A 16,947-nucleotide genomic window follows, 5' to 3' on the forward strand; every position below is an offset into this window, starting at 1 on the left:
GGGTACTCCTTATGTCTCCATTTTACAGATGAGAAGATTAAGACTCAGAGAATTTAAGGAACTTGCCCAACAGCTAGTAAGTAGCAGAGGGTTCAAACCAGATCTGTTTCACACCAAAGCCCATTCTCTCTGAACTGCTGGTCTCCCTAAGACTTTATACACTAGCTGAAGGGAGAAGACAAATGCATAAGACAACCTACAATGCCTGTTGCAAATGATAAGTGACAAATTAATGGTGGCAATCAGGAATTTTGTGGACTTTCAGAAGGTAAGAAGTCACGTTCCCGCATGTTTGGGTTCTTCTGAGAGAGTTACAGTAACTCCCAGAGCTCCTTACCAGGGCTAATTAGAGGGCGCTGATCTCCTCTGGGGTCTCTTCTGAATTACACAGGTGCATGGGCCCAGCCTTGAATCCTTCCCTTGGAGTCCCTCGTTCTTCCACTTTAGCACTGTGGAAGCTTCATTCAGGGCACCTGTAGGCTACAAACTACCTCCATCTGCTCTGTTTTTCAACCTAACCTTGTGGCTGGGAGAAGAGAGCCCAGGATTTCTACGGAGAGAACAGAGAACACAAGGAAACTAGCGCACATAGATCAGAATTGCCCAGTGCAGGGATGGAACCCAGGCTTGGAGTTCCAAGGCTTGGGCCTAGGGTGGGTTTTCAGCACAAACACTTCCTAGTTGTGTGCCCTTCGACATTTTCCCAACTTCTTTGATTTTTCTCTGTAAAATGGGAATAGCACAAGAAGCTATTTCATAGAAATGACAAATTGCTGTAACGTGCCTGACACTTTGTAAATTCTCAATAAATAGTAGCTTGAAAACAACCCAGAGATCCTCAGATTGAAGGACTTCCCAGGTGTACAGAAGCCTTGGCCTAAGAGATGGCAAGGAGCAGGTTTTCCTCTTTGGGAAGTTTGGGCTCTGAGGGTAGAGAAGACAGTGAACGGATTAAATGCCTGCCTGGAGTGTGTTGTGGAACTCTGCACACATCTCTTCAAGCAGGCCCAATTGTGAAGTTAGAGAAAGACCCCTGACACCTGACCCAATTATAAGAGTAATTTGCAGCAGTGTTTCTCCCATTTCACAGGGTCATAAGAGTCACCTGGGTCACTTTTTTATTTTTTATTTTTATTTATTTATTTATTTATTTATTTATTTATTTATTTATTTTTTGAGACAGTCTCGCTCTGTCGCCCAGGCTGGAGTGCAGTGGCGCAATCTCGGCTCACTGCAAGCTCTGTCTCCCGGGTTCATGCCATTCTCCTGCCTCGGCCTCCCAAATAGCTGGGACTACAGGCTCCTGCCACCATGCCCGGCTAATTTTTTTGTATTTTTAGTAGAGATGGAATTTCACCGTGTTAGCCAGGATGGTCTCAATCTCTTGATCTCGTGATCCACCCGCCTCGGCCTCCCAAAGTGCTGGGATTACAGGTGTGAGGCACCGCGCCCGGCCTCACCTGGGTTGCTTATTTAAAATACAGATTCCCAGCCCCCTCCCCCAAAATGTTCTAACCCAGGTGCTCTAGGGCAGGTCCTGGGAATGTTTATTTTACACAAGCCACTGGGTGATTTCATGACCAAAGAAGTTTAGGAAACATTGCTTTAAGCATTCAAAGAACTTATGTGTCCTCTATGTAATAGAATCTACATAATGAGCAGATTTATCATCCCCACTTTACAGGAAAAGTAACTAAGACCCGACAAGCTTCAGCAGCATGCAAGAGCCTGCTCAGGCTGGCTCAAGAGAGCCTACTGTTGTTGTTATTGTTGTTTTGTTTTTTTGAGATGGAGTTTCACTGTTGTCGCCCAGGCTGGAGTGCAGTGGCACAATCTCGGCTCACTGCAACCTCCGCCTCCTGGGTTCAAGCGATTCTCCTGCCTCAGCCTCCCGAGTAGCTGGGACCACAGGCACCTGCCACCACGCCCAGCTAATTTTTTGTATTTTTAGTAGAAATGGGGTTTCACTATGTTGGCCAGGCTGGTCTCCAACTCCCGACCTCAGGTAATCCTCCTGCCATGGCCTCCCAAATTGCTGGGATTACAGGCATGAGCCACCGCGCCCAGCCAAGAGAGCCTACTGTTAAATGTTCAAGGAATTTGCAATTCGGTGATTAAACCCCGAGTGGCTTGAATTTGGCCATGGTGGAATAACTACACTCCAGATTTCTCCTCGCCAGAAGGGAGCTCACAGGTGCTCAGGTCGGCTTCTTTTTTCAAACAACCCAGGGCACTGATAGAAGTGAACACTTCTTGGCTGTTCTCTTGTTTTGGGTGCATGGCTCAGTTTGAATATTGTCTTTTTCTCTACTGAAATTCATAAACATTACATACAAATCAGCAATCTAGGGCTTTTTTTTTTTTTTTAAAGAGCTGGTTTACTAGCACATCACTGAGTCAGGGTCAGTAGTTTGTCTGACTGTTAGCAAAAAAGCTGAAGTTCACCTGTGTTCTCGCTCCTTAATCCATGTGCATTCTCCTCCTGCTCCCTCTATCGTCCCTTCAACCTCCAGTCCTGGATAGCGTTAAGGGCTCAAATTCTAACAAGGATCACCTGCTAGAGAGTTGGTTCAGAATTTCTAAAGACTTTAAGTGATCATTCTTTTCCACAACAGGTTGATGTCTCCCTCTAGTGGATAGGAAAGAGTAAGACAAGTTTTTAGATCATTGTATATGTGTAACATGTTGAAATATATAGAGAGCTAATTTCCAATAGCAGCACAAAAATTTCCTTTTTATTCATTTAATATTTCATTCACTCAGCATTTATGATTTGCTTACTATGTGCCAGATATTGAGGTATAAAGATAAAAAAATGAGAAAAGTCACTATATACTGAGAAAGACTGCCAAGATACATTGAGAAGAAAATCAGAGTGCAGAACGTTATGAAAAATATACTATCATTTGTTTATAAAGGCAAAAGAAAGAATACATACATACATTCACATAGGATATATTTAGAGAGACACACAAAATACTGTTAATATTAGTTGGTTTTGGCCGGGCATGGTGGCTCACGCCTGTAATCCCAGCACTTTGGAAGGCTGAGATGGGAGGATTGCTTGAGCCCAGTTCAAAAACAGGCTGAGCAACATGGCAAAACTCCATCTCTACAAAAAATACATTTAGCTGGGCACAGTGGTGCATGCCTGTAGTCCTAGCTACTCAGAGGGCTGAGGTGGGAGGATCACCTGAGCCCGGCAGGTTCGAGGCTGCAGTGAGCTATGACTGCCACTGCCCTGCAGCCTGGGCGACAGAGCAAGACTCTTTTCATACAAGACTAGTGCATATGCCACAGCAATTTGATTGGTTACAGATTGCTAAATTCCAAGAAAGAATACTTTATTACTCTATAAGGAGGGGTAATGATCTGTGGGGGTCTTTGGTGCTGTTTGTTCTTAATTATCTAAAGGAAAAACAAGGCAAAAGTTGCAGCTGCATGCCATGTGACTCAGGCTGCACAGCCACACACCTCTCAAGGCTCAGAATAAAGTTCCAACAGCTTTAAGTTTGAATTATTTAATTTCACATACTTATTCAAAAGTAAATTAAAACCTGCGCATAGTAGCTGATGCCTGTAACCTCCAACGCTTTGGGAGGCTGAAGCAGGAGGATCACTTGAAGTCAGGAGTTTGAGATCAGCCTGGGCAACATAGTGAGACCATGTCTCTGCAAAAAAAAAATCTTTTAAAAATTAGCTGGGTGTGGTGACTCATGCCTCTAGTCCTAGCTACTTGGGAGGCTGAGGTGGGAGGATGGCTTGAGCCCAGGAGTTTGAGGCTGCAGTGAGCTGTGATTGTTCCACTGCACTCTAGCCTGGGCAACAGAGCGAGACATTCTGTCAAACAAACAAACAAACAATAAATAAATAAATAAAGTATTAAAATTTAAAAAGTTAAAACTGGTTTTAAATGTATTCAAAGAGCTATTTTCTTCTAAAATATTAAAAGCAAACTGCTTATAAAAATTAATAGGCGGCCAGGCGTGGTGGCTCACGCCTGTAATCCCAGCTCTTTGGGAGGCTGAGGTGGGTGGATCACAAGGTCAGGAGATCGAGACCAACCTGGCTAACACGGTGAAACCCCGTCTCTACTAAAAATACAAAAAAATTAGCCGGGCGTGGTGGCGGGCGCCTGTAGTCCCAGCTACTCTGGAGGCTGAGGCAGGAGAATGGCGTGAACCCAGGAGGCAGAGCTTGCACTGAGCCGAGATCGTGCCACTGCACTCCAGCCTGGGCGACAGAGCGAGACTCCGTCTCAAAAAAAAAAAAAAAAAATTAATTAATAGGCAACATTTTAAAATATCAAGATTTTAACTCAAAAATATTTAAAGCTAATTTTAAAAATTATTATACTAGGCCGGGCGCAGTGGCTCACGCCTGTAATCCCAGCACTTTGGGAGGCCAAGGCGGGCGGATCACGAGGTCAGGAGATCGAGACCATCCTGGCTAACACAGTGAAACCCCATCTCTACTAAAAATACAAAAAAATTAGGCGGGCGTGGTAGCGGACACCTGTAGTCTCAGCTACTTGGGAGGCTGAGGCAGGAGAATGGTGTGAACCAGGGCAGCGGAGCTTGCAGTGAGCCAAGATCGCACCACTGCACTCCAGCCTGGGCAACACAGCGAGACTCTGTCTCAATAAATAAATAAATAAATAAAATATATATACTATATAAAATGCTTTATACAAATTAGTCATAATTCTACCATTTAATGTCCATCTGGTTGATGCAGTAAAGAAGCATAGTATATCTAGAACTACCTATGTACAGATTTAAGTCAATGTTAGGTATTTAACACTACCAAATGTTCCTCAGCTTCTGTGCATAGCAATTGTAGTACCGTGCTAACTCCTGAATAACTCTGAAGCAAGAAAATGGGACTACAGAAAAATAGGCCGGGCACGGTGGCTCACGCCTGTAATCCCAGCACTTTGGGAGGCCGAGGCAGGCGGATCACAAGGTCAAGAGATTGAGATCATCCTGACCAACATGGTGAAACCCCGTCCCTAGTAAAAATACAAAAATTAGCTGGGCATGGTGGCGCATGCCTGTAATACCAGCTACTCGGGAGGCTGAGGTAGGAGAATCACTTGAACCCGGGAGGCAGAAGTGAGCTGAGATCCGCCATTGCACTCCAGCCTGGGTGACAAGAGCGAAACTCCATCTCAAAAAAAAAGAAAAAAAAAAAGAAAGTAAAAAGAAAAAGAATACTACATTGTGCAAGAAACACCTGCATTTTGGCTCTTAAGAAGAATTAAACAAGTTAATTTGTCTTTTTTCTCATCTAAATGCTTCTGCTACTCCACTCCGTCCTGTCCTTAAAAGTAATGTTTATCTCTGACATCAGCAGCAACACAAACCTTCATGGCATTTGGACATAGTTGGATTTTGTTTCAAGGACTTGGAAACCAGAAAAAGACAAACAAAGGGCCCCTATACCTAGTTTGCTGAGTTTTTATTAGGAACGGATGTTAGATTTTGTCAAACACTTTTGGTGGATCTGTTGGGGTAATCATATGGTTTAATTTTATGTTAATGTAGTGAATTATATTGATTGGGCTTTGAAATGAAGACTTATATGCCTGAAATAAACTCCGGTTGGTCTTAATGCATTGTCCTTTTTACATATTGTTAGGTTAGATTTGCTAAAATTTCCTTGAGAATTTTTGCACCTGTGTTCCTGAAGACTACTGATCTGTAGTTTTCTAAGAATGTCTTTGTCAGGTTTTGGTATCAGGGTAATGCTGTTATCCTAGGATGAATTGGGAAGTATTCCATTGGCTTCCATTTTCTGAAAGAGGTGGTAGAGAACTGCTGTTATTTCTCCTTAATCATTTGGTATAATTCACCACTGAAGCCATCTGGGCTTGGAGTTTTCCTTGTAGGAAGGTTTTAAACTACAAATTCAATTTTAAAAAATAGATATAGGACTACTCAGGTCAGCTCTTCTTGTACAATTTTTGGTAATTTGGTTTTTTTCAAGGGGTTTGTCCATTTTATATATGTTGAATTTTTTGTTAAAAAGTTTTTCATAATATTCTCTAATTATTATTTTAATAGCTGTAGAATCTGTAGGTTATCTCCTTCATTCCTGATATTTGCAATTTGTGTTTCCTTTCACTTTTTTTCTGTTCAGTCTGGCTAGAGGTTTATTAATTTAATTTAATTTATTTATTTATTTATTTATTTATTTTAAGACAGAGTCTTGCTCTGTCACCCAGGCTGGAGTGCAGTGGCACGATCTCGGCTCACTGCAACCTCTGCCTCCTGGGTTCAAGTGATCCTCCTGCCTCAGCCTCCTGAGTACCTGGGATTACAGGCATGTGCCACCATGCCCAGCTAATTTTTTTTGTATTTTTAGTAGAGATGGGGTTTCACTATGTTGGTCAGGGTGGTCTCGAACTCCTGACCTCGTGATCCGCCCACCTCAGCCTTCCAAAGTGCTGGAATTACAGGCATGAGCCACCACACCGGTCTTTTAACCTGTTTTTTGTTTTGTTTTGTTTTGTTTATTTTTGAGACAGAGTCTCATTCTGTCGCCCAGGCTGGAGTGCAGTGGCACGATCTCAGCTCACTGCAATCTCCGCCTCCTGGGTTCACGCCATTCTCCTGCCTCAGCCTCCTGAGTAGGTGGGACTACAGGCGCCCACCACCACGCCCGGCTAATTTTTTTGTATTTTTGGTAGAGACTGGGTTACACTGTGTTAGCCAGGTTGGTCTCACCTTCTGACCTCGTGATCCACCCGCCTCGGCCTCCAAAAATGCTGGGATTACAGGCGTGAGCCACCATGCCCGGCCTAGGGATTTATTAATTTTATTGATCTTCTCAAAGAACCAGCTTTAGGCTTTATTGATTTCCTGCTATTTTTGTTTTCTATTTCATAAGTTTCTGCTCCAATCTTAATTATTTCCTGTCTTCATTTTATTCTGTGTTTAACTTACTCTTTTTCTAATTTCGTTTTTTGTTTGTTTGTTTGTTGTTTTTGTTGTTGTTGTTGAGACGGGGTCTTGCTTTGTCACACAGACTGGAGTGCAGTGGCATGAACATGCCTCAGTGCAGCCTCAACCTCCCAGGCTCAAGCCACCCTCCCACCTCAGCCTCCTGAGGAGCGGAGACCACAAGTGCATGACACCCTGCCCAGCTAATTTTTGTATTTTTTGTAGAGAGGCGGTCTCACCATGTTGCCCAGGTTGGTCTTGAACTCCTGAGCTCAAGCCATCACCTGCCTCGGCCTCCCAAAGTGCTAGGATTATAGGCATGAGACACCGCGCCGGGCCCCTATTTTCTAATATAGGCATTTAGTGCTACAAGACTCCCTCTAGCACTATTTTATTGTATCTCACAAGTTTTATTATCTTGTGTTTTAATTTTCAGACAGTTCAAAACACTTTCCAATTTCTTTTTTTGAAACTAATGTGTGATATAGAAGTTTTATTTTCCAAACATTTGGAGATTTTCTAGATATCCTTTTTATTGATTTCTAATTTAATTATATTGTGGCCAGAAAGTATATTTTATGACAGAAATAATTTTAAATTTATTGAGAAAAATAGTATGGCCTATTTTGATAAATGTTCTACAGGTACTTTTAAAAATGTGTATTCTGCTATTGTTAAGAGTGTTCTATAAATATCAGGTCACATTGGCTGTTTTTTTTATTAATTATTTTTTATGATTGTATGTCATAAACTTTATACTACATGTTGTTTGTTTAAAAGGTCATTTATCTTTTGAACAGATGTAAATTTATTTATTTTTTAGAGACAGAGTCTCACCTGTCACCCAGGCTGGAGTGCAGTGGTGCTAGCATAGCTCATTGTAACCTCAAATTCTTGACCTTAAGTGATCCTCCAACCTCAGCTTCCCAAAATGCTGGGACTACACACCTGAGCCACCACACCCAGCCCCCTCAGTTTCTTTCTTTGTTAAAAAGAAAGAAAATAAAAAAGAAAAGAGAAAAGAAAGAAAAGAAAATGAAAAGAAAAGAAAAGAGGAATAATACCTAGGCATTTGGTGAGGATCAAATAACATACCTAAAGCATATGACACAGTGCTTAATGTGCAGTTGTTGTTCAGTAAACGGTAGCTATTATTGCCAGATTCTTCTGTCACCACAAAAGTGGAATTATCTGGCATTTCTAGAGTCCCTAAAGAACAAAAGGAGAGCCCCTGTAACTCATACTCATTTACTGCTTAAGAGAGTATGTTATCTAAGCAGATGTTACATAGGCCAAGCACACTGTGGTATAATATTTTAACAGGTTGTTTTATTCTCAAGTAATAGAGAATCTTAGGCCGGGTGCAGTGGCTTATGCCTATAATCTCAACACTTTGGGAGGCCGAGGTGGGTGGATCACCTGAGATCAGGAGTTTGAGACCAGCCTGGCCAACATAGTGAAACCCTATCTCTACTAAAAATACAAAAAAGTATTGTATTGGTGGCAGGCGCCTGTAATCCCAGCTACTCTGGAGGCTGAGGCAGGAGAATTGCTCGAACCTGGGAGGCAGAGGTTGCAATGAGCCAAGATTGTGCCACTACAACCCTGGGCAACAAGAGTGAAACTCCATCTCAAAAAAAAAAATAGAGAATCTTGCGTCAAGTGAACTAAACAGAGGGAGATGTAACATCTCACTTAACAAGACTGGGTATAAACTGGGCATGGTAGCTCACACCTGTAATCCCAGCACTTTGAGAGGCCGAGGTGGGTGGATGGCTTGAGGCCAGGAGTTCGAGGACAGCTTGACTAACATGGTGAAAGCTCGTCTCTGGCCAGGCGCGGTGGCTCACGCCTGTAATCCCAGCACTTTGGGAGGCTGAGGCGGGCGGATCACAAGGTCAGGAGATCGAGACCATCCTGGCTAACACGGCAAAACGCCGTCTCTAATAAAAATACAAAAAATTAGCCGGGCATGGTGGCGGGCGCCTGTAGTCCCAGCTACTCGGGAGGCTGAGACAGGAGAATGGCGTGAACCCGGGAAGCAGAGTTTGCAGTGAGCCGAGATCACGCCACTGTACTGCAGCCTGGGCGACAGAGCGAGACTCCGTCTTAAAAAAAAGAAAGCTCGTCTCTACTAAAAATACAAAACTTAGCCGAGCACGCTGGCAGGTGCCTGTAATCCCAGCTACTCGGAAGGCTGAGGCAGGAGAATCGCTTGAATCTGGGAGGCGGAGGTTGCAGTGAGCCAAGATCGCGCCACTGCATTCCAGCCTGGGCGACAAAGTGAGACAAAGTAAGACGTCGTCTCAAAAAATAATAATAATAATAATAATAATAATAATAATTCTGGGTGTAGAGCAGCTTCAAATTTGATTAATTCATAAGCTCAATATTGTCATCAAATCTGTTCTTTCCATTGATTATGTAACTATAAAGATTCTGTTCCAAAGGTAAAATTTTATGAGTGCAGTTTGCCTTTTTCAAAAAATGCCGGAGAACTTTTTTTTTTTTTTTTAGACGGAGTTTCTCTCTTGTTGCCCAGGCTGGAGTGCAGTAGTACGATCTTGGCTCACTGCAACCTCTGCCTTCCGGTTTCAAGCAATTCTCCTGCCTCTGCCTCCCAAGCAGCTGGAATTACAGGTGCACACCACCACGCCCAACTAATTTTTGTATTTTTAGTAGAGACGAGGTTTCATTATGTTGGCCAGGCTGGTCTGGAACTCCTGACCTCGTGATCTGCCCGCCTCGGCCTCCCAAAGTGCTGGGATTACAGGCATGAGCCACCGCGCCAGAGAACTTTTACGTACAGTACTTTCCTTTGCTTTAGTAAGGCTAAACACAGTAATATTGCATCTCTCCTTCTTGACTGTATCCTTAAAAGTCCTTATTAGATACAACAAAAATTGCATATTGATTTCAAAATATCATTTATATCTCATTTATAGTATATTCAAAATACTTAACAATTCAATCTGTCTGACCTACTCCTATTTCCATGTTCCTGGTCATTTTCTGTCAATTACCAGTACATCCTTCCCCGCAAAATGGAGCCATTTTATCATATTAGATTTTTACTCACAGTTCTCTAAAATCATTTCAACTTATAGCTGTGCTTAGAAGATTTAAGGATGCTGAAATTACAGTGAAAGAATATTAACTTAGGAGTTGGTTCCAAAATAATTATGGAGCCCTAGTGACTTACAGGGGGTTAAGCAATACTAAAGAAAATTATTAATATTTTAAAATGCATTTAAAGGAGAACTTATATTACTTTACAAAACTCTAACTTAAATTTGTGTTTGGGCTTCTTGACGTTTCAAAACCTACTGTTTGATTCACTGCTGGTAGAACAATTTTGCTTTACATTTTAAAAGCCTACAACACACTGGGGATGGTGGTTCACGCCTGTAATCCCAGCACTTTGGGAGGCTGAGGCAGGCGGATCACTAGAGGTCAGGAGTTTGAGACCAGCCTGGCCAACATGGTGATACCCTGTCTCTACTAAAAATACAAAAATGAGCCAGGTGTGGTGGTGTGTGCCTGTAGTCCCAGCTACTCAGGAGGCAGAGATGAGAGAATAATTGCTTGAACCTGGGAGGCAGAGGTTGCAGTGAGCTGAGATCACGCCATTGCACTCCAGCCTGGGTGACAGAGGGAGACTCCATCTCAGAAAAAAAAAAAAAAAAAAAATTAGCCAGGCATGGTGGTGCATGCCTGTAGTACCAGCTATTTGGTAGGCTGAGCAGGGGGATTGCTTGAGCTCAAGAGTTCAAGGCTGCAGTGAGCTATGATCACACTACTGCACTCCAGCCTAGGTGACAGCAATACCCCATCTCTAAAAAAAAACAAAAACAAAAACAAAAAGACTTACTAAATAATGAAGTTCTCCAAACAGAAAGAAAATGATTTTTAAAAATGAAGGAATCTTGGAACATCAGGAGACAGAAAATATAATGAGCAAAACTGTGGGTAAATACAATAGGCTTTCCTTCTCTTGAGTTTTCTAAAATATGTTTGATGGTTAAAGCAAAAACTATAACACTGTATGATGTGGTTCTAAATGTATGAAGAGGAAATAGCTAAGATAATTATATAAACAGGGAAAAGTAGAGACATAATGGAAGCTAAGAGTTCTATACTTTACTCAAACTGGTAAAATGACATCAATACACTGTATTAAGTCATATATACAAAATGTAATACCTGGAGCAACCACTAAAAAAGCTATACCAAATATATATGTTTATCATCAAAAACTATAAATAATTCAAAATGGAATTCTAAAAAATGTTTCAGGAACAAGCATGAAATTAGGAAAAAGAAAACAGAAATTTAAAAAACAGAGAAAACAAAATGAAAAGGAAGACTTAAGCCCTAATATAGCAATAATTACATTAAATGTAAATGGTCTAGATACACCAGTTAGGCCGGGCGCAGTGTCTCACACCTGTAATCCCAGCACTTTGGGAGGCCGAAGCAAGCAGATCACTTGAAGTCAGTGTAGGAATTAAAGAAAGAGGAGAGAAAAGAAAGGTGGCTTGCCAGTCAAGACAGGTTTATTTTAGAAAAAACAAACCTGAGAGGGGCGTCTGGCTGAGTTAGGTCAGAGGCACATCCTCTTACAGACTAAGCATTTTTAAGGATTCAGGATGGGAGAGTTTATCAGAGGCTTGGACTGCTTCTGTGTCTCTTTGTTGTGCTTATTTGGGAGAGTTGTGTGTCTGTTCCCATACAGTCAAAAGTTCAAGACCAGCCTGGCCAGTCTCTACTAAAAATACAAAAAAATTATCCAGGCATGGTGGTGCACATCTGCAATTCCAGCTACTTGGGAGGCCAAGGCAGGAGAATCACTTGAACCCGGGAGGCAGAGGTTGCAGTGAGCCAAGTGAGCATCACTACACTACAGCCTGGGGAACAGAGTGAGACTCCATCACAAAAAGAAAAAAATAAATAAAAATAAATACCCCAGTTAAAAGACAGAGTTAGCAGAGGGGATTTAAAAGATGTTTAACTATATGGTATCTATAAGAAACTCTTCAAATAAAAATATAAGGAATTTGACAGTAAGAGGATGGAAAAAATATGTTATGCAAATATTAAAGGAAAGTGTCAAACAAAGTAGACTTCAGAGCAAATAAAATTACCAGACACAGGGAGGGACATTATATAATAACAAAAGGATCAATCAACCAAGAAGACACAGTAATCTTAAATGCCCCCAAACAACAAAGTTATAAGATATGTGAAGCAAAAACTGATAGAAATGAAAGAAAAAAGGTCAGGCATGATAGCTCATGCCTATAATCCCAGCATTTTGGGAGGCCAAGGCGGGTGTATCACCTGAGGTCAGGAGATTGAAAGCAGCCTGGCCAACATGGCAAAACCCCATCTCTAATAAAAAATACAAAAATCAGCCAGATGTGGTGGTGCACACCTGTAGTCTCAGCTACTCTGGAGGCTGAGGCAAGAGAATCACTTGAACCTGGGAGGCGGAGGTTCCAGTGAGCCGAGATCAGGCCACTGCACTCCAGCCTGGGGCAACAGTGAGGCTCTGTCAAAAAAAAAAAAAAAGAAAAGAAAAGGAAAGAGAGAGAGAAAGAGAAAGAAAGAAAGAAAAGAAAAAAGAAAGAAGAGGCCAGGCGCGGTGGCTCACGCCTGTAATCCCAACACTTTGGAAGGCTGAGGCGGGTGGATCACAAGGTCAGGAGATCGAGACCATCCTGGCACCCCACCTCTACCAAAAATACAAAAAAAATTAGCCAGGCGTGGTGGCGGGTGCCTGTAGTCCCAGCTACTCGGGAGGCTGAGGTAGGAGAATGGCATGAACCCAGGAGGTGGAGCTTGCAGTGAGTGGAGATCTCGCCACTTCACTCCAGCCAGGGCAACACAGGGAGACTCTGTCTCAAAAAAAAAAAAAAGAAAGAAAGAAAGAAAGAAGAAAGAGAAAAATCCACTATTGTTGGAGGATTCAGCTCCTCTCTCAGTTGATAGAATGAGATAGATAATCAGCACGAACATAGAAAAACTCAACCACACCAGCATCAACAAAATCCAATTGACATTTGTAGAATACTCCACCCTACAAGAGCAGGCTACACAACCTTTTGAGGGTCTATGCAAGAAATAGTAAGATAGACCATATCCTGAGCATTAAAACAAACATCAAAATATTTACAAGAATTGAAATCGTATAGAATGTGATTTCTGACCACAGTGGAATCAAACTAGAAACCAATAACAGATAACAGGAAAATCTCCAATCACATGGAAATGAAACAAGTACTCCTAAATAAAACATAGGTCAAGGGAAATTTTAAAAATACATGGAACTGAATGAAAATGAAAATAAAACATATCAACACTTGAGGGACACAGCTAAAGCACCACCAAGAGGGAAATTTATAGCACTAAATGTGTGTATTAGAAAAGAGGGAAGATCTCAAATTAATAATCTATGCTCCCACACCAAGAACCTAGGAAAATAAGAACAAAATAAATCCAAAGCAAGCAGAAGGAAGGAAATAATAAAAATAAGAACAAAATTGATTAAATGTAAAACAGGAAAAAAATAGAAAAACCAATGAAACAAAGAACTGGTTCTTTTGAAAAATTAATAAAATCGGCTGGGCACGGTGGCTCACACCTGTAATCCCAGCACTTTGAGAGCCTGAGGCAGGCAGATCACCTGAGGTCAGGAGTTCAAGACCAGCCTGGCCAACATGGCGAAACTCCATCTCTACTAAAAATACAAAAATTAGCTGGGCCTGGTGGTGCAAGCCTGTAGTTCCAGCTACTCGGGAGGCTGATGCAGGAGAATCACTTGAACCTGGGAGGCGGAGGTTGCAGTGAGCCGAGATCACACTACTGCACTCTGGCCTGGGTAACAGAGCAAGACTCCGTCTCAAAAAAAAAAAAAAAAAAAAAAAAAGAAAAATTAATAAAATTGACAAACTTCTATCAAGACTAACAAAGCACAAATGAGAGAAGACTGGATGGACGCGGTGGCTCATGCCTGTAATCCCAGCACTCTGGGAGGCCAAGGCGGGCAGATCTCAAGGTTAGGAGTTCAAGACCAGCCTGGCAACATAGTGAAACCCCATCTCTACTAAAAATACAAAAATTAGCTGGGCATGGTGGTGTGTGCCTGTAGTCCCAGCTACTCGGGAGGCTGAGGCAGGAAAATCACTTGAACCTGGGAGGTGGAGGTTGTGGTAAGCCAAGATCGCACCACTGCACTCCAGCTTGGGCAACAGAGCGAGAGTCTGTCTCAAAAAAAAAAAAAAAAAAAAAAAGGAGAGAGAGAGAAGACGCTAGTTACCAGTATTCAGAATGCAAGGTCTATTACTACAGACTATACAGATGTCTAAAAAATAATAAGGAATTATTATAAACAACTCTACACACATAAACTGGACAATTTACATTAAATGAACCAATTCTTTGAAAAACACAAACTACTACAATCATCCAATATTAAGTAGGTTATCTTTTTTTAATGTTTTATTTATTTATTTTTTTGAGACAGAGTCTCGCTCTGTTGCCCAGGCTGGAGTGCAGTGGCGCCATCTTGACTCACTGCAACCTCTGCCTCCCAGGTTCAAGCGATTCTCCTGTCTCAGCCTCCTGAGTAGCTGGGACTACAGGCACGCACCACCACACCTGGCTAATTTTTTGTATTTTTTGTATTTTTTTTTTTTTTGAGATGGAGTCTTGCTCTGTTGACAGGCTGGAGTGCAGTGGCATGATCTCAGCTCACTGCAACCTCTGCCTCCCAGGTTCAAGCAATTCTCCTTCCTCAGCCTCCTGAGTAGCTAGAACTACAGGTGCGTGCCACCACGCCCAGCTAATTTTTGTATTTTTAGTAGAGAGAGTGTTTCACCATGTTGGCCAGGATGGTCTCCATCTCTTGACCTCGTGATCCACCCGCCTCAGCCTCCCAGAGTGCTGGGATTACAGGCATGTGCCACCACGCCTGGCCTTAAGCAGATAATCTTAATTGCCCTTAACTATTAAAGAGATTGAATTTATAATTTATTTTTACTTTTTTATTTTTTAGAGGCAGTGTCTCACTGTCACCCAGGCTGGAGTGCAGCAGCATGATCATAGCTCATTGTAGCTTTGAACTCCTAGGCTCAAGACATCTTCCCACCTCAGCTTCTCGAGTAGCTAAGACTATAGGCACATGCCACCATGCCCAGCTAATTTTTTTTTTTTTTCTGTAGAGACAGGGTCTCACTCTATTGCCCAGGCTGGTCTCAAACTCCTGGGCTCAAGTGATCCTCCTGCCTCAGCCTCCCAACGTGCTGGGATTACTGCATGAGCCACAGTGCCCAGCCAGAATTTATAATTTTAAAACTTCCCATAACAGAAATCTCCATATCCGGATGGTCTCACTGGAGAATTCTATCAAATCTTAAAAGAAGAGTTAACACTAATCCTACACAATATCTTCCAAAAAATAGACACAGAGAATACTTCTAAATTCATTTTATGAAACTAATATTACCCTGATATAAAAACCAAACAAAGACAATCCAAAAAAATATAACTGTGGCCAGGCACGGTGGCTCTTGCCTGTAATCCCAGCACTTTGGGAGGCCAAGGTGGGTGGATCACTTGAGGTCAGGAGTTTGAGACCAGCCTGGCCAACATGGTGAAACCCTGTCTCTACTAAAAATACAAAAATTAGTCAGGCATGGTGGCACGCACCTGTGGTACCAGCTACTTTGTAGGCTGAGGCAAGAGAATCACTTGAACCCAGAAGGTGGAAGTTACAGTGAGCCCAGATCCCACGACTGCACTCCAGCCTGGGCAATGGACTAAGACTCCATCTCAAAAAATAAAAATAAAATAAAATAACTACAGACTAATATACCACATGAATATATACAAAAATCCTTAACAAAATATTATCAAATCAAATTCAGCAATACATACAAGGAATTATATACCATGATAAAGTGGGGTTGTATTTGGCCATTCTTTCATTGCTATAAAGAAATACTTGAGGCCAACTGTGGTGGCTCATGCTGGTAATCCCAGCACTTTGGGAGGCCAAGGCAGGCTGATCACTTGAGGTCAGGAGTTCAAGACCAACCTGACCAACATGGTGAAACCCCATGTCTACCAAAAAATACAAAAATTAGCCGGGTGTGGTGGCACACACCTGTAGTTCCAGCTACTCAGGAGGCTGAGGTGGGAGAACCACTTGAACCCAGAGGCAGAGGTTGCAGTGGGCCCAGGTCGCACCACTGCACTACAGCCTAGGCGACAGAGTGAGACCCTATCTCACAACACAAACAAACAAAAAATACTTGAGACTGGATAATTTACAAAGAAAATAGGTTTAATTGTCTCATAGTTCTACAGGCTGTACAGGAAGCATGGTGCGGGGCATCTGCTCAGCTTCCAGTGAGGCCTCAGGAAGCTCACAATCATGGCAGAAGGTGAAGGGGGAGCCCAGCACCTGACAGCATATCACATAACTAGAGCAGAAGCAAGATAGAGAGACAGGGAGGGAGCCACACACTTTTAAATTAACCAGATCTCGTGAGAACTCACTCACTATCGTGAGGACAGCACCAAGCCATGAGGGATCTGCCCCCATAACCCAAACACCTCTCACCAGGCCACACTTCCAACAATGGAGATTACATTTCACCATGAGAATTGGGTAGCATAAATATCCAAACAATATCAGGCCTTAATTCCAGAGATGCAAGGGTGGTTCAACCTTCAAAAATCAATGTAACTCACTATGTTAACAGGCTAGAAAAGAAAAACATATGATCATATCAATAGACACAGAAAAAGCATGACAAAATTCAACACCACTCATAAAAATAAACTCAGAAAAACAGGAATACAGGGGAGCTTTCTCAACTTGATAACAAGCATCTATAAAAAAATCTATATTTAACATTACATTTAATGGTGAAAGACTGAATGCTTTCCCTCTAAGATTGAAAACAGGATATCCATGCTTATTGTTCTTATTCAGTAC

At 42.1% G+C, this 16,947-nt stretch overlaps 1 protein-coding gene across 6 annotated transcripts in view; it reads right to left on the bottom strand.

The window, feature by feature from the left end:
* ESR2 (estrogen receptor 2) overlaps positions 1–16,947 on the bottom strand; it is a 111,907-nt gene that overhangs the window by 74,324 nt on the left and 20,636 nt on the right. Inside the window, exons 3-4 of one of the 6 annotated variants that reach the window (NM_001291712.2) lie at positions 2,446–2,629; positions 338–550 (exon numbers count right to left, since the gene is read on the bottom strand). The exons of the other annotated variants lie outside the window; for them this stretch is intronic. The gene's annotated coding sequence lies outside the window, so the exon portion shown is untranslated. The remainder of the gene's footprint in view (positions 1–337; positions 551–2,445; positions 2,630–16,947) is intronic. 6 annotated transcript variants of the gene reach the window in all.

Source organism: Homo sapiens, chromosome 14 (genome assembly GCF_000001405.40).
Source record: "Homo sapiens chromosome 14, GRCh38.p14 Primary Assembly".
Lineage (NCBI taxonomy): Eukaryota > Metazoa > Chordata > Mammalia > Primates > Hominidae > Homo > Homo sapiens.